The 18,069-nt window shown below is 51.7% G+C and overlaps 1 protein-coding gene across 4 annotated transcripts in view, besides 1 other annotated feature; it reads right to left on the reverse strand.

The window, feature by feature from the left end:
- The window catches only part of PXDC1 (PX domain containing 1), a 29,095-nt gene that overhangs the window by 10,196 nt on the left and 830 nt on the right, over nt 1-18,069 (reverse strand). Inside the window, exons 1-4 of one of the 4 annotated variants that reach the window (XM_011514393.4) lie at nt 6,244-6,347; nt 5,982-6,155; nt 5,243-5,334; nt 4,265-4,382 (exon numbers count right to left, since the gene is read on the reverse strand). In XM_011514393.4, the coding sequence (XP_011512695.1) occupies nt 4,265-4,382; nt 5,243-5,334; nt 5,982-6,054 (283 nt within the window). In that variant the 5' untranslated portion in view covers nt 6,055-6,155; nt 6,244-6,347. Of the gene's footprint in view, nt 1-4,264; nt 4,383-4,802; nt 4,917-5,242; nt 5,335-5,981; nt 6,348-18,069 lie in introns of those variants that run through there. The other 3 variants (XM_047418376.1, XR_007059222.1, NM_183373.4) reach the window with 3 other exon arrangements.
- Nucleotides 4,664-5,290: an enhancer, noted in NCBI's record as "H3K4me1 hESC enhancer chr6:3737712-3738338 (GRCh37/hg19 assembly coordinates)". NCBI's record gives its function as "activates a minimal SCP1, AML or CMV promoter by ChIP-STARR-seq in naive H9 embryonic stem cells {active_cell/tissue: H9 hESC(naive)}" and the evidence as "EXISTENCE:reporter gene assay evidence [ECO:0000049][PMID:30033119]".

The following is an 18,069-nucleotide window of genomic DNA, read 5'->3' on the forward strand; positions in this document are numbered from 1 at the left end:
AGCAGAGACAGTCAGTGCCTGTTCCCCATGGCACCACCTCCCTACACGTATGTCAGTGGCATAAGAAATGGAGGAGGAGGGTGGATGTGGGCTCTCGGCCGGGAATGAATGGAATTAACCAGGACAGCAGTGGACAGGCAGGTTTGCACGAAGGACCCTGCAGGGCCACAGTCCATGCAACGGCTGGCCAGTCCCCTGCAGGAGGCTGAGGCTCTGGAGTGGAGGTGACAACATCAAAAGGCTAGCGTGGGCTAGGCTCTGAATGCCCAGAATGACCAAGAACTTGGGCTTGATGGTGAGAGTGAGCTTTTAAGACAGTTAATAAGCCTCAGAGGTCAGAGCTTTGGGATGACTGGCTCAGTCCTCGGGTTCATATCCTGGAGAAAGGGGGACGCATGAGAGAAAGCCGTGTGGACAGTCTCAGGTGATGCCAGGACTCTCTGGACCCCGCGCCTCAGCCTGGGGAGCCACAGATCCAGAAACATGCCAAATATGGGACCAAGACTGAGAACATGGTGTGCCTATGTGTGAGCCATTTTCTCAAAGGGATGTTGGGGCTATTTATTGTCAATAGTAATTTCATTAAAAAACACTCCTGAAGGGAGGTATCTGCCATGGTGTGCGTGGGTGTACCGCCTCGCCACCGGCAGGCACAACTGCTCTAGATTAAGAAGCTCCCTTAGACACAGTGAGGGGCGAGCTAGACCGGGAACAGAGATCGGAAGGTCTGGGGGGTTCAGAGAAAGAAAACCAGACTCGGTGACCGGCAGAGAAGAGGAAGAGGAGGAAACACTCAGAGCACTTGAGACCCTCGGCTCTGCAAGGCTGCAAGAGGCCATACCGCCTGCCGCCTCCTGCAGCAACACCTCCGGGCCCCCAGACTTTGCACTGAGACTGTTAGCCACTGGCTGGTGCAGACTCCATGGTTACGCAGCCCCAGATGTTAGAACGTGTTCTGTGCTGAGCCAAAGTCGCCCACAGTTACTTCTACCCACAGGCCTAGTGCCAGCCCCCACCTGACCCCTTCCCATGGCAGCCCGCCAACATCTGAAGGTGGCATCCCCTTCCTCCTAGCTGCTCTTCCACATTTCCTCCCATTCTTCTGACCCCTGCCCACCAGACACTCTTCTCTGGATGTAATAATTCATCTTGCTGCATCCCGGGGACAGTCTTGACTTGCATAAGGAGGCCAGGACCCCTGCCTTCCTAGACCTGGACACTGCACCCCCATCACACACGGAAGGCCACAGACAGCCGTGGCTGAAACCTGTCCTCAGCCCTTGCAAAAAGGCAAAGAAAACATACTTTCAATGGCAACATGAGACTCTACGTTTCTCCCTGTTAAATTTCGTCTCACTATGCTCGCCCCTTAGGGTCCACGTGGGCCATGTGTTCATACACATCGCTGATAGAGACGGGAGGCCAGGGCAGGCTGAAGCATGTGCCGGGCACTGTGCCTCAGGAGCTTCTCCATCAGAGGTGGCTCCAGGCCTCTAATCTATCCCTCTCACTCGGGGGCCAGCACCTCCCATAAGGCAAGGCACTAAGAGGACTCTGCTGCTCCTTGATCTCTGGGTTGCCCAAACAGAGCAAAACAAACCAAAACAGAGACACTGGTGCTAGGACTCTCCCCACTCAGACTAAAGAACCAGGCTTCCCCATGCTCTGCACTACAAAATGCAAAACCCAGAGCAATAGACAATTAGGACTCCAGAGCCCTCTGTGAGCCCTCTGAGATGAGGATCCATAGACACCCAGCCAGGAAAAAGGACCCAGTCATCCTCACTCTCCCATAAAGGTTCTGGAGACCCAGTGCCAGCTAAAAAGGGGCTCCTGTACTCACTGCTCTTGTCTAAAGGCACATAGGAAGGTATCTTAGGGAGATATCAAAAGCAGCATACCACCCAAAGTGATCTACAAATTCATCGCAATCCCCATCAAAATACAAATGACATTCTTCACAGGAATAGAAAAAAAAATCAATCCTAGGCCGGGCGCAGTGGCTAATACCTATAATCCCAGCACTTTGGGAGGCTAAGGCAGATGGATTGCTTGAGCTCAGGAGTTTCAGACCAGCTTGGGAAACATGGCAAAACCTCATCTCTACAAAAAATACAAAAACTAGCCTGGCATGATGGGATACGCCTGTAGTCCCAGCTACTTGGGAGGCTGAGGCAGGAGGATCACTTGAGCTGTAACTGCACCACCGCACTCCAGCCTGGGCAACAGAGGGAGACCCTGTCTCAAAACAAAACAAAACCAACAAACAAAACAACAACAACAAAAATGAGCAAAACAATCCTAAAATGTATATGGAACCAAAAAAGATGCCAAATAGCCAAAGCAATCTTGAGCAAAGCCAGAGGCATCACACTACACAATTTCAAAATATACGACAGAGCTACAGTAAACAAAACAGCATGGTACTGGCATAAAAAGACACATAGACCAATGGAACAGAATAGAGAACACAGAAATAAATCGATATACTTACAGCCAACTGATTTTTGACAAAGGTGCCAAGAACACACAACGGAAACCACCAAAGTGTCTAGCTACCAATGAATGAGTAAAGGAAATGTGGTACATATGCACAACGGAATACTATTCAGCCATTAAAAAGAATGAAATGCTGTCATTTGTGGCAACATGAATGAGCCTGCAGGCATTACGTTAAGTGAAATAAGCTAGGCACAGAAAGACAAATGTCACAAGATCTCACCCATATTTGGAACCTAGAGAAGGGGAGATCATAGAAGCAGCAAGTAGAACAGTGGTTACCAGAGGCTGGGGAGGGGCCAGCGGTGGACAGGGAAAGGCTGGTCAGTGAGCACGAAGTGACAGTGGGAGGAATAAGCTCTGCTGTACTACTGCACAGTAAGGTGACAAGGGTTAACAGTACTGCCTTGTGTATTTCAAAATAGCTGGAAGAGAGGATTTTGAATGTTCTCACCACAAAGAAAAGATGAATGTTTGAGATAATGGAAATGCTAAATACTCTGATTTGATTTTTACACAATATACACATGTATCAAAACATCACACTTTACCCCATAAATATGTACAATAATTATGTGTCAGTAAAAACAAACAAAAAAGTAAAAAACAAAACAAAGCAGCAGCCACAGACAGGGTCAGGTGTGCCACCACCCTGCGCACACACAATCCTATTAATATCTACAAACCCATCTTCCACTCCAGGTTCCAGAACCTGCCCACCCCACCCAGTTCTCCCAAGCACACAATTCAGAATCCCACTTGTGCTGTGGCCCATAATCAGCAAGGCCACGTTCACAGCCAACAGCATCAGTCACCCATCCCCACTGTCCTCTGGTCTCCCAATTCCTTCTGGGTCAGCTCTGGGCTCAGACCCCCTCTCATCCACTCTTCTCCCTTGACATCCTTCTGAGTCCTCCATCCCTCCTTCTCCCCTGCTTCCTCCTCCATTCAGAAACGGAATGATGGACACAGGCCCCCTGCTCTCCTTCCCACAGATCGCAACATCATGGAGGTGCTCTCCTCTGGCTGAGCCATGTCTCCTCTCATGAGTCCCCCCTTCCCTCCCTGTCCACCAGGCAAGATCGCACACAACTGTCACCTCTTATGTCACAAGGTGATTGCCACTTGCTTGGGAAAATCCAGTCCTAGAGACTCCCAGGACAGACCTCTTTTCCCTACAAAATCCTCCTCATCAGCCTTTGTCAAAATAGTGCTGCAAAAAGCAAGTCTAGTGTTCTCATGACACCTGCAACCCAGATCTTAGTAAGTCACCAAACTTGGACTGGCCAAGAGGCCCCAGCTTCCCCTTCCTTCCTTCCTGTGCCAGGAGCCACAGTCCCACATCCACGCTAAGGAGACCTAAAGCCTGTGCGTCCCTTTGGTTATGGCTGCCCCTAAAAGCAAGAACCAAATTCAATGCCACGTGACATGGGCTGTCTCACTTCAGCAGGCTGAACAGTGGATTCCAATAGTTTGCTTCAAACTCTATCATCAATGTGTTTGTTCATCGTTATACCATTTCTTAAGTGAGTTCCAATTTACATGCCAAACAAACCCCTGAGGACGCAGCAGGAGTGAAAACCACAGGAGGAAACACTGCTTGGGAGAATCAGGCAACAGTCTCTCCCTGTACATTCGCATTTCTCTCGATTGTCTTTCTGGAAAAGTGTGGCCCAGCCTCAGAGACAGCCAACTGTGAGGGTTTCTGTGACATCTCAGCCTCAACAGCAGTCCCTCCCACCAACGCCTCCTTTGTGGCTCTTACCTGATATTTTGACTGGACTTTGAAAGCTGGGTTGAATTTTATGCACATTATCATTTTTTAACACCTGATCCAGAGGAGATCTTTCGAAGAAGGTGAGCACAACTTCCGATCTAGAATACTGGGGAGAAATGCAGGGATTACTAAAAACGATCAGCCTCTACACGTTGGCCCTGTCTGTCTACCAAGAGAGGGCCCCGCTCCTCCGCAGAGGCAGCCTGTGTGATGCAAACGCCCCATGAATGTCCAGATGCTCCCATGGCTGGCCGCAGGGGCGGGGCTGCCATCACTGCACAGCCCTCACATGCTCATGGCCCAGGCGGCTGAAAGGCAAGGCCTCAGCGACCTGGGCAGTGGAGGGAATCATGGCTCTGATGTGCCAGTTTCACTTGCGCCTCCCTCCCTCTATAGTCAACTGTAGGCTGTGTCCACTCTCCCCACTGGCCAGAAAGAAAGGGAAGCTTCCAGGAGCTAAGGAGGTCTGCCTGGCGCTCAAGTCCAGGTTCTTAACCACCACTCACGACGAAGCCCGCAGGCTTACATGGAAAGGGAGTTGACGGTCAAATCCGGGCAACGTGCCCCGCTGTGCTGACGCCAACGTTCTTCTTGGTTTCCACGTGTCTGTTCTAAAATCCCCTCAGCAAGACGGTGGATTCTGAGCAGAGGCAGAAAGCAAAGGCCTCCTGCAGCCAGAGGGGATCCGCACCCTTCCACCCATGCCTCCTTGCATCCCTCATTTTCACTCTTTCCCCAGGGAGGAAAAACCGGGGCCACTGGAGCCCATGAAAGCCTTCTTTCTCCTGATTACACCTGCACACCTCCACTCCGTCCCTATCGCCTGGTACTACCAGGGAGGGAACAAAACGGCTAAGTGAGACAGAGCAAGCAAGTCAACCCTCCGGGGGGATGGACGCCTTTCGCATTTGGGAGGTGCCAGCACCTCCCACCTCCCTGCCCAGCCCGGGGCCTGGCCACACTCACTTTACAGGGCATGCTTATGATCGTCTTCAGCAGCTTCTCCACCTCATTAAGCCTGGTCTCTATGTCGTGGGCTTCCTTTATGGCAACCAGTCCTAGAATTGAGACAGAAATGCTCAAAGTCAGAATAGCACACCAGGAAACGCGCTCCCAATGCAATACACAACAGGTGCCCACAAACCGCCAGGGTCGTCATCTGTAATGAGATGTCGGGAACATTCATTCAGCCTTATGCACCTATAGCCGCTTTCTGGAAGTCCTGCTCTAAGCCTCATTCCATGTTTCACCTACCCAGTGATCCATAAAGTCTGTGCAGGAGTTGGTACTGTCAATCTGAAAAGGGGATGGGAGGTGTAAGATCCCTCCAAGTGGGGCAGCCTGGCAAACTCCATAATCACCCTGGTCACAGCCAGAGCTCAGCCCAGGGCGAATCAGGCCCCACCAGCGTGGTGGCTACAGTCAGGGGTGCTGGCCCAGGACCAGCCCACCCCCAGTGACACAGGGAAGGACTCACTCTGCTGGCCACGGCTGCTCAGATCGCAGACCCCTGGAAATGGAGCCTCTGTTTAGACCAGTCATTTACATGCCAAGTTCACAAGGAAAAAAGTCAGATCTCTGCCTGGACAAAACCAAAGTGGACACGACTCATGCCACTTTCCAGGAATCTGGGCCTCTGTGCTTCTCACGGTCACCACACACCCGAGTGGCTGTCAGGCAGCATAATATTTTATTTTTAAAATACCATAGCTCGAGGCATGAAGGCTCGGGTGCTTTTCTATCTCCCCATGAGAAGCGCAGAGCAGAAGTCTTCCCATCACAGGTTCTATCCGTCGGCTTTGCAGGGATGGGGAAGTAGGTGCCCAAGGACACTGGCGTCTCCCCCACACTTGTGTGACCGAGGCTGATGCAAACGTGCCTGTGAGCGGTGATTAAACCACAAAGGCTTAAGTGCCAGAACTATTAATGGCAAAAACCGTGATTACTGCGATTACTTTTGCACCAACCTAGTATTATTGGTCACGGAGACTAACTTTTTCAGAAGTTCTGGTCTGATTTTGTTTTGCAGGGGAAAAGCCTGTTCAGTTTTCAAGCAATTCGTTGAATAGGTCTATAAGAGAGATAAAAAAAGATTTCTTAAACTTCCTGACTGAAATTAAGAGGTCCCAGAGCATACAGTCCATGAAAACTCCCACCAGGGCTCCCCAGACATAGGTCAAAGGCACTTCTGCAAGAGTGGGCTACCGCAGGGGCATCCCCATAACGGGGGTCAGTGGGGATCAGTGGAGGCCAAGAACCTTCTCCCCACTTCCTCAAGCACGTGCCAGGTGCCCATTCAGCTGGCTCACCTGGTATCCCAGCAGGCATCCCTGCTTAGCAGTGGGGCTATCTGATCCTGCCCCCTCCACTGACCTCAGCCACACAGGCCCAGGCGGCCAGCTGTGCAGGGCACAAGGGTCCAAGAGGGGCAGGGTCCGTGGTCTGTGACTCAGCCACTGGAAAACCCTGGGGCCTCTGTCCACGTGGCCTGTGCCTACGCCCAAGCACGATGCCCTGGCCGTCACCAGAGGAAGGGGCTGGACGACCCTCTGCCGTGTTCTCCAGCCTCGGCCCACCTCCCCACACGCCGGGGCAAGCAGGGTGGAGAAGGAAGAAAACGAGAAAACAACAAAAGTACCAGACTCTCCGGATGCCTCCTCCCAAGCCCTGAATTCCTTGCATAGAATTTCAAATATTTATATACCGCAATTTACATAGAATTTCAAATATTTATATACTACAAGATGTATATATGCACCACTCTTTCAACCAAAATGCTTTGATCCCCTGCTTGCTCAGGGAAGTCTACCAAGGAAAGGGGAGCCAATTCAAAATTCTTAAAAAGTTGTTTTTAAAGAGAAGACAATTATATAACTCATTCCCACAAAGTGCTTCTTTATTCTAAGACAAGCAAAACTACTGTTATATTTCAACTTTCATTACAGCTAGAATACTAGCTTCCAGTTGATCAAATGAATGACATACTAGTTGTACTCAGTTTACAAGATCGGCTTCTTGCAAAGTCAATGTATCCAGCACATGTATACCCATTTCATAGGACAGAAAGCGTGACCTAACAATTTACAGGTATTATAGAGGTTTATAATGCTTTTATCTTTGCTTTGCTGACATATCTTTGGCTACATCTTTGATTTAATTAATGTGCAGCTCTTGGTTGGGTTGATAACCTCCAAGGGTCACATTAGGGAGATAAATATATTCTGCGGTACACTGATCTCCTTTTAGTATGGCCAAACTTGGCAAATAAGACACGTGATGCCTAATTAAATACGAATTTCAGATAAACAATGGATAATGCAATAGCAGGGACAGACTTACACTAAAAACATATTTGCTGTTTGACATTCAAACTTAACTTTGGGTCCGGTATTTTATCTGCCTACGCTATCTTCTTTGTGACCCATCTTCCAGACTGAACTACAGAAAGGCAAGTGTACCTGGTCAGGCCTCTGGAAACCGTGTTAGGATTTTAGTTGGGCGTGCAGACTCTTCATGACCTGCTCCTAGCCCACCTACCTCACCAGCTCTGTGCCCTGTGAAACACACCCTCAAGCCAACCCCGAGAAACAGGCCCTCGCTTCCCAACAGCCTCCAGGTGAGCTGTCCTCCAGCCTCCTCCACCTCCAGGCTCATGATGGGGCAAAGCCCACTTAGGCAAAAGCCACCTGCTCTGTGATGATGGGACTGGCTCCTGCCTGTGGGTTCGGAAAGCCCATCCCACCCTCTACAGCCTCTTGCTCCTCTGCAATGACTGTGCCTTCACCTGGGGGTCTCCCCAGAGACTAGTGAGAGTCATAGGGCAGGAGGCACCTTAGGCTCATCTCCCTGTGACCAGCAACCAGCACAGTGCCTGGCCCATGCCAGGGATGCGATGTTCGCTGGCTGTGCTGGCAGAATACACTTGCATCAGATGAGACAGAAGTGGACAGGTGTTAGTCACTCTCCTGTGTGTGCACCAGCTGCCCTTGGGCAGCACCCCAGTCTCGGTCTTCTCGTCATCACCTCAGCCTGACCCCAGACACAACCGACCAGCAGCAGGCTCTTCGGTCACCAGCCTCGAAGGAGAGTCTCGAGGGCCAAGTGGCACTAAAACTGCTGAGCCACACTGGTTTGATTTTATTTGTGGAAATGTGCAGAACCACATTGCTTCCTTTCACCTGCTTTTATGTTTCTGAATGGAAGCCAAACTGTGTTCCTTGGGTGTGTAAACATCCTTAACAACCAAACAAAAGGAGCCTGAGAAAATTTAGATGGGGAAAGTGAAGAGCTGGAATCCCTGCCTGGAAGCACAGAAATGACGGTGCTTATTTTTTAAGCTCTAGGATTTTAGTTAAGGGCACGTCCATTATTGAATTCCCCATTCCGGCTCCCGGTGGCAACCAAGCTGGCAATCTGGATCAGCTTTCTCAGGACACTGTGGTCCTTTCTCCACGGAGACAGTTCACCTGAATGACAACGAGCGCTGATCCCTTCCCCAGGAGGGGCCGCAGCTGATTCATGAAGTGATGAATTCTGCTGAACTTACTGAAACCCACCTGACTGACAGCAGCACAACTGGGCTGCTGTTGCTCCAGCTGCTACCACCAGAGCTCCAGAGCACGGCGACAAGAACGCAGCGCGGGGCTGCCTTGAGCAGCAAACGCCTCCCCGCCCCCACTCAAGAAGTGACACTGGCAAGAGACTACAGACAGCCTGGCCTTCCTAAAATGCCAACGCTCCCATTTCCCTACTCCCCTTCAATTGTTTTTAAAATGTTTCAAATACACCAAACGGATGGGTGTATTTAATGTGGAAGGAAAACACTTTTTAAAAAAAAACTGTACAACTGTCCACTGGGACCACAGTGCAGAAATAAAAGAAATCTTCATCTTGCAATTTCTGATTGTTTTATATTCACTAAGGTTTCTCAGTTTCACAGCTGGAAACCTCAAGCTCCTGCTGCCAGCATGCCAAATTACAAATACTCAAATTTATAAAGAAAAAGTTCTGAGCAGAATCCACGCTGAAGACACTGCTTTATTTTCCAGGAACAGACAAGAACTATGAGTTTAAGAAATACTGCTTCCCCCAAAGCAAACTATTGAGTGCATCTGCGTTTCTTTCTATCCTACCTGTTGTACTCCTCCTTTGTGACTCAAGTGCTTTGGCTTCCAAATGGCTAGTGGATTCTTTCCAAATGTTGTCACCTGTTTACCATAAGCAACGATTTGAAAACTTGTTTTCAAAACTGCACTTAAATACAGTAATTTTAGATCATCTAAAACTTTTGGTTTTTATATTCCAAATATTGTTGATGGCATGACAATTCTGGGGGTTCCTGTCCGACTTGGTTTCACTGCCTGAGATCGCACGGATGAATACCGCAGGCAGGTGAAGAGGGTTGCCTATTCTGCCAAGCGAACCTGAAAACGGAAGCAGAGCCGCTTCGCTCGGGTCTTTCAGGACTGACCAGCAGGGGGCGCGCGCACTCTGCGGAAAAAGCAGGATGGCGTTCACTGCAACGCACGCTTAAGGAAGTTAGCCTCAGAGTTCACAGCCCCGGAAACTGTTCTAATTTCTGATAAATAATCACTAATACAACCTCAACTTTAAAAATTTCATCCTACACAATTTGTGACATGAGAATTTCATCCAGATGTAGCCAAACAATTAAGAATTTGAAACCAAAAAATTGGTAACACAATTGTACATAAATTCCGGTGGGCCAACTGGACACACATTTGGGGACTGAGTATCAACAGGGGGCTGCCAGCGTCACTTTTCTTCCTAAAGGAGTTAGGTCTCGAAAGCTGAAAACACAGCGTTGTATCTGTCAATTTGGGGATTAGCTGCTTTCTGCAAACACAAACACCTGATTTGTTCTTGGAATCAGAACTGAACGCGCTGGAGGCAGTACAAAAATCTGACAGTGAGAGCCAACGTTAACAAACACCGCTTCCGGATCTCAGAAACCTGGGTCCAGAGTCCCACTTTTTTGGGAATTGGAGGCTTTGGGCTCAACACTTGCGGTAACTGGCCCAGCTTCCTCCAGGGAGGACCTTGGCCATCTGACTCTAGCGGGAGGGCTTCCTGCTGCTGCAATTCTGAAACTAAAGGCAGGATGCTGGCTCGGGTGCGCTGGGAGGTCACACGTTAAAGAGCGTCCACTACCCAAAGAACAGGCCTCTCTGAGCACTCAGAGGACGCGGTTCCCACACGCACACAACAGTCGGCCCCGGGGAAATGCTCTGCAAAGTGAGCTTTAACAAACTGAGTCAAACCATAAATTACATTTATATTGTTTCCTTTCCATTTAACAAATGTGCCCATCAGCACACTACACAGATGCAGAGGTGAAGGGGGGAACGCAGCCTCATCTTGTATGCTGCACGGGAGACACACATTCTTTAAAGGTTGACTATAATACACATCTTGGAAACTAAATATCTAAAATGTTTTAGGAAAGCCTTTAAAACTTCCTAAGTACCTGTTTTCTAAATAGGCAGTCAATGCTGAAGCAGCAGCGAGTTAAGAACTGACTAGCTGGTTATTCAATGCATAACTAAGCAACCCAGGGAAGTTCTAACTCCCTGGGAACCTGAGGCTGCTCTTCGCTATCCGAGACTGACACGTTTCCACCTGTGGAGTGTCACGCAGTATAACTGTACAAGGAGAGCGAGATTGCGGCTGTGTGGACACCAGGACAGAAGGCCTCCCCCACACCTCCACGCTGCAATGCATCAGGGGCGCCCAGCGGCTGGTCCACAGCCACCTCTCCTCTACATCTTTTCAGGAGTGAAAAGCTGAGCTGAGAATGCAAGAGGAAGAGATGGAAGTGGCTGAGGAAAAACAGAACACCCGGAGGACCCAAGCTGGGGGCTGAGGGAAGTCTCTCTTCCTCCCTCTGCAGCAGTGGCTGCCTTCTGTACCTGGGAGGTGGCTCCTAGAGCGACTGGGAAAGAAATGTTTGACTTAAACTTACTGAGCTCTGCTCTGCTCTTCCCGTAATCCTGCCTTCTCTAGGCTTTTTCATTATTTTCCCCACTAAAAGCCAAATCCTCTTCCTAAATTTTAGACTCAACATTCTCCAACAGCCATCCACTTAGCCAGTCCGTCCTGCAGCATCACAGGTTCCCAGGGGGAGCAGCCCACTCAGGCAGGAAGGAAGCACTTCAGTCGCTCTTCCCAAAGCACCCATGGCTCCTCCTCCACCAGGCTGGGGATACCACGGCCAACAAGATGGGATCCCGGCCTCCTGGCACGTCATGCTAGCCAGGAGGGCCAACAGGAGGCAAACACAGACCACAGACTGTCCCCTGCCTGGCAAATCCAGGTGCCAGGAGGATGCACAGCAGGGGATCCCCCCCACACTCCCGGGCAGGAGGCGGCCTGAAGGGTGAGCGGATATAAGGGTGAAAGGGGTTGGGGAAAGAGGGAGTGAGATGGGGAAGGTGGAGGGCAGGGGTGGGGAGAGCTGAGACCAGAAAAGGACAAGCGTGGTCTCACAAATCCCGGGAAAGGGCCTTGCCCATGAGGGACAAGGAGGCAACGGCTTCCCACGGAGGTTCTGGCTACAAGAACTCTGTGCACTTGGCAATTCTTGTTTTTATTTATTTATTTATTTGAGACGAAGTCTCGCTCTTGTCACCCAGGCTGGAGGGCAGTGGTGCAATCTCAGCTCACTGCAAGCTCCGCTTCCAGGGTTCAAGTGATTCTCCTGCCTTAGCCTCCCGAGCAGCTGGGACTACAGGCATGCGCGCTACCAGGCTCGGCTAATTTTTCTATCTTTAGTAGAGACGGGGTTTCACCACGTCGGCCAGGCTGGTCTCAAATTCCTGACCTCAAGGGATCCACCTGCCTCGGCCTCCCAAAGTGCTGGGCTTACAGGCGTGAGCCACCGCGGCAGCCATTCTTTCTTAGGATCAGGCCTAGATCTTAGGATCTTTCTTAGGTAACCCAAACCTGGCCCACACCCAGCACCAATTCTAGTTTCTGGACGAGCAAGGCCACAGGCCTAGTCCGTAGGGATCCCACTGAAGTTCGGTGGTGACCTCCCTCTTTGTGGGCTCCCTCTTTAGCCAGGGCAGGGGTATTCTCCCAGGGTATATGGGGGGGCCACACCCAGAAGAGGGCGGGCACATGAGTGGGCCAGTCCTGCCAAGCGGCTCGCTGCTCTCAGGAGCCAGCCTCCAGCACTCTCCCGCAGACCACTGTCATCAAGGGCACGTGGCAAGTGCCAGGGCAAAGAGCAAATGGTCCCAAAGCCAGCAGCCCGTATATGCCCAGCTTGGTGCTGGGCACTCTACGGATACCACTGCTTTCGGTACTCACAACGGCCCTGCGTGCGGATATTATTACTGCTATAGCATCAACAGTGCACCCGAGGCTTGAGGAACTTGCCTGGAATGACATGCAGGTGGCAAAGCCAGCATCCAATCCCCTAACCCCACCTGTCTGGGTCCAAAGCCAGTGCTTTCAGCCTGAGCCTGACCCCTCCTATTAAGGCCTGACTGTGTTCCCAGGTGGGGAGATCCCTGAGCCTGACCCCTCTCACTGTAACTGAGCTGTGTCCCAGGTGGTTGACCCCCAAGCTGACCCCTCCTACCATGACCCAGCTGTGTCCCAGGTGGGTGATCCAGCAATCTGGCAAGGCCTTGATCTTCTATGATGAGACTGACAGCTGCCACCTATCAAAGTATGAACTGCAAGCTCTTCCCTCCCCCTCTGCACCCGCTGTCCACCATGTGTTTTCTGCTGAGTCTAGGTTAAACATCAGCAAGGTTTCTTAACAATGGGAAGAAACCCTTGCAGGTGTAAGTTGGCAAAAGAGTTACGTGGTCTGTCTGATGTCCCCATTTCCTGTGGGATGGGGCAAGAGGGGGCACAGCTAGAGGTGTCTGTCTGCAGAAGAATGTCACCACATATGGTGTGCGTTCAGCTCCTCTCGCCACCAAGCAGGGAGCTCAGATCAAGGTGCTCCTGAGCTGAGTCCCTGGCCTGTTCTGTGAGAAAGCTGCAGCTTTTCAGTGCCAACTGCCACCGTGAAAGGCAGTAGCCCTGGAAGCAGGTCTGTCTGTGGAAGTGTCCAGTCTCCAGCTGGGAAGTGAGCTCAGGTGTCGCCTGGGGCCCAGGGGCTCAGTCTGAGATCTGTCGGGGGGGCAGCAAACCAAACGCAGCTCAGTGGCCATTTATGGAAAAGGAAGAGGATCCCAGGTACAGCAGGATGGGGGAAGCAGAGTGGGCGGCGGGGTTTGGGCTTGGCAAAGAAAAGCAAAACAGAAGGAAGAAAGAGGAAGAGGAGGCCGCGTGAAGGTGGGTGGCCCCATGGGAGCCCTGGCAGGGCACCCCCAGTGCAGGGTGACTTGGCCAGGTCAACAGAGTCAAAAATAGGTCTGTGAGTCAGAAAGGAAGATCCAAGTCCCCTGAGAAGTAAAGCTGCCCCTCTGGGTGGGGCAGAATGACGCAGGTGAATTCTGCACGGGGGTGGAGCTATGGTTGAAGGCAAAGGGCAGGCCCAGCCAGCACCCCACTTGCAAGGGCCCACTGGATGGGGCAGAGATGGTGCCTCTGTGCCCCTGCTCTGCTGCCCGGGACTGGTGTGGCCCATGATCATTTCTGAGCCACTGTCACTAAGAAAGTAAACTCCGTGGCTTTGCAGTTGGCCATCGGGTGGGATTCTCCCTTATGTTTCAGGGTAACACAGGGCTTCTCCCCTCACTGTCCACCCGAGAACAGCATGAGCAGGTTCAGGCCCTGGGATCAAATCACGCATCTTCCTAGAGCTGTCAGGGTTGTGGGAGTCTGGTAGTCACATCTGTGTCCAGCCCTTTTCTGGTAATGTCCCAGATGCCAGTCCCCTGGTACTCGGATCTCAAATCTAAGACGACAGTCTCCTAGCATGCAGGTAGATGAATGTCTTTGGTGATAAAGATGAGCACAGGCAGGTACATTAGCACCACATGGGCTGGCGGGCTTGTGATCATGGCCTTACTAAGAGAAAACGCTAAAATGCCGCCTCCCAAGCTGCCCTCCTGAGCCACCCCCTCCCCCATGTCAACTCCTCCTGCCGACTCCCCCATGGCAGCAAATGGCAATCCTGCCAGTCCTGCACCTCAGGCTGAAAACTCTGGGGTCATCTGCACACTACTCCACACCCCATGTCTGGCCTTGCAGTGCCCCTGTGGCTCTCCCTCAATGCACATCAGCGTTTGCCCACTTCTCCCACCTGCTCTGCTGCACCAGCCCCCAGCACCTGCCTCCACGCCTCCCCTGCTCTTTCCCAGCACAGCAGCCCGAGTTTGAGTCAGGCCAAATCACCTCTCTGCTCAGAGCCCTCTCTGAATAAAAGCCCAAATGTGACCACGACCTTCCTCTCTCCCTTCCTGACCAACAGTCTCCACACCAGCCACCGTACCTCCTCACTCCCCAAACCCACCAGGCACATGCCAGCCTCAGGGCCTTTGCACCTGCTCTTCCACTGCCTAGAATCGACTTCCCCAGGCACCCAATGGCATGATCCCCGCTTTCCTTCATGTCTCTCTTCAAAAGTCACTTGTCCTCGATCACCCTGTCTAAACGCAAAACCCCTCCCCCTGCTCCTGTAAGTCGGAGCCCCTTTCTTTGCTTACTTATTTTTCCTTTTGAACATGTATCACTATCTAATGTATTTGTTACTTGTTTATCTTGTTACTATTGGATTTCTCCCAACCAGAATATAAGAATCATGAGGGCAGGGATGTTCTTGGTCTCTTGTTCACTGCTGTGCCACCATCACCTACACATGTGGTAGGCACTATGCAGATATTTGATGGAATGAATGTAAAAGCAAAATGTTGATTGTACAGCTACTAAGAATGAAAGATCACCTGACTACTCGGGAACACAATCTGTTGCTGCAGTGGTGACCTGGTTGGCTCAGACATCACAAAGCCTGAAACTATAGAAATAACAATCGAAAAAGTCTAGGAGCCTCAAAATGCCAACAAGGAAATTCAACATGTTTATGTTTTAAAGCATAAACCTTCCTAGATGCGAGAGATGTAAATAAAGGGTAACCCTGAACCATGTTAGGTATCGCACAGAGGGGACTGAAATGAAAGACTTGGGCCCACTGGTGTTAAGAGTCTGGAAAACACAAGAACGGAACACCTTGGTAACCCGGCGACAATATCCCCAGGAAACAGCTACCTCCCTCCCCTAGGGCTGCGGGACAAGAAAGGGAGAGGGGGCATATCCAATCTGGATGGAGAAGAAGGTCGGGTGGGAGAGTGAGAGTGCGAGGAAAGGGGAGAGAGGACAGAAGCTGGGCAAGTCCTGAGGTCAGCCCGGTCCGACCTCACCCAAACAGAAGTCCAGGAGAGAGCGCTAGTGAGCACTGTGCCTCCACCCCAGGCAGGGATTGACATATCCCTGCAGATGTGTCACCGTGACACATACAAGGCCCAGGGATGGCCTCCAAGCACCACTCCACAGTGTGTGTGTGCAGAGAGAGAAAAAGCACATTCTCCCCCACTGCAGTACTCAAGGGACCAAGAAAAGGGCTCAGCATCCCTTTAATTGCTAGCAGATTCAAAGCTGCAAGTGGGGCCAAGGCTCCCACACCCTCCAAGGGTGTGCAGACACTTCCAAGAGTCACCAGCCCACTGCCAGCAGAAGCTCAGAAATCCAGATTTCCTCACAAATCTCTTAAATGGAACTAGAGAATGCAAATCTAACCCGTCCCAGAAACAGTTCAATCCATGTAAACTGGGGAATGTGATAGGGAATGATGCAGAGAAAAGCCGGCATTGCAGCACAGCAAAGCACACACATCTGGCTGCCTTTTGTGTTTATAGTTTGTATATCCAGATAATCTTTTTATGCAAACAATAAATCTGCATGGAAATAAGGTGCAATCTGCTTTTACATTACTGGGATATATTTTACTTGGCAAACAATTTCCCTGGACTTAAAAGGATCAAAGAAAGGGAAAGGACTTCCCTGGCGCTGCACAACAAAACTCAGGTGGTGCTGGGCAGGGACCAACTAACTGCCCCTCAGAAAACCAAGGACTAGAATGAAGGCAGGGCTTATGGTCCCGGTTCTGGTCCCAGGCTCCCCTCTTCACCCCCTCCAGGGTGTGCCAGACTGTCCCCAGCAGAGAGAGCAGCTCCAACAGTTCCACGGTGTGCTGTGAGAAAGTCCTTTACACCCAGCCGCTGGACCTCACACTCACCGCCCACCAGCCCTGCCACCATCATTCTGACCCCTATTTCTGATTTCTGTTCCCCTTGAGGTACTTGGAGGTAGCTATCATATCCCTTCTGAGCCTTTTCTCCACGGTAATCGCTCGCGTCTTCAACCTTTCTTCACTCTTTTGAGCCACTCCTGCGTGTCCACACAGCTTGTGACCGCGTAACAGACCCAGCACAACTAGGGCGACAGCAAAAGAGGCGGAGCCAGGGTGTGTGCAGGGCACGCCCCTCCCTCCTGCTCCAGGTGAGGTATTTCCACCAGCGTGGATGCAACTGAAACCACGCCCTCTTTCCACCGTCTGGCCCAACCCCAGCCAGAAGCAGCTGATGGGACGGTAACAATGACAACTGGCATTTATGGAGAACCTGCTCTTGTTAGACCCTCTACCATGCCTTTCAGTCCTCACAAACGTCAGAGACCACAAGCACAAAGTTACAGGTGGGGAGCCCCACGGGGATCCCGCTCCAACCAGCCTGCCTGGGGTCACGGAGCTCAGACGCCTGACCACAGTGAAGCTCAGGGACTCCAGTGTATTTAAGCCTCGTTCCAGGAAAGGTCATTGAATAAACCGCTGTTCCTTCACGATGCTTTCCTGATTTGGGCATTGATTTGTTAAATTTAAAATATCATAACAAACAGCAAATCCAAGGAAAACTGCTTCCATGCTTGAAATAACACCCAACTGTCTGGAGAACAGCTATAAATGTGAGGCTCTGGGGAGCAGAGGGAGGCCTGAAAGGCGGGCCTTCTCGCTCAGGGCCCCAACTCGCTGGCTGTGGGAGCCCTTCCAAAAGATGTGTCATGAGAACTAAGCTAATTATCCACGTAATTCTCACACTGGGGTTGGGGCCATCGCCAGGGGAAAGCACAGGTTATCTCAAGAACGCAGCCAGATAGGAGGCTGGGGAGACTTGGACGGGCCACCTTCTGCTTCAGTAACTTGGCCCCAAGCTTTCAGGAGGTCTCTGCTTAGAGGAGGACTGCAGAAAAGAAGGCTGCTGGGCCACTGTCCCAATGTTCCGAGCTACAGGTGGTCACCCATGGAGGGGGGTGGGACCTGCTCGGAAGTCCTCCAGTCTTCCCGCCCCTTCTCCCCTCCCGGCCCTCCCAGGCGGCCCCTCTCCTCGGCCTGCCCCCTCCACCCCGCAATTCTTCCCGTCTCAATTCCAGTCCCTCTCTCTTGCGTCCTCCCGGCTTCCACCCCCTCAGCCTGGCCTCCAAAAGAAAGATCGGGCAGAGCGGTAGGAAAAGGGAAGCCACCGCGGTTTCTGAAAACAAGAATTCCCGCGAGCCAGGACGGTCACGAGGCCGGGGAGGAGGCGGCGCAGCTGATCAAACGCGAATGGGGACCAGCCCTGGCGGGGGTGCGGGGGGGCCCTGGCTGTCCGCGGCAGCCGCGGGCGGGGCGGCCGCTCCGAGGAGGGACGGAAGGGCTGCGTGGCACCTCGCGCTCGAAGACCAGGGGCGCGCCCTCCGCGGGGAGAACTCGGGGCGGCGGCCAGACCCGACGCGACCCCCGGCTCGGACCCTGCAGTTAACTGCTCCCAGACGCTTTCCCA

Source organism: Homo sapiens, chromosome 6 (assembly GCF_000001405.40).
Source record: "Homo sapiens chromosome 6, GRCh38.p14 Primary Assembly".
NCBI classification, from domain to species: domain Eukaryota; kingdom Metazoa; phylum Chordata; class Mammalia; order Primates; family Hominidae; genus Homo; species Homo sapiens.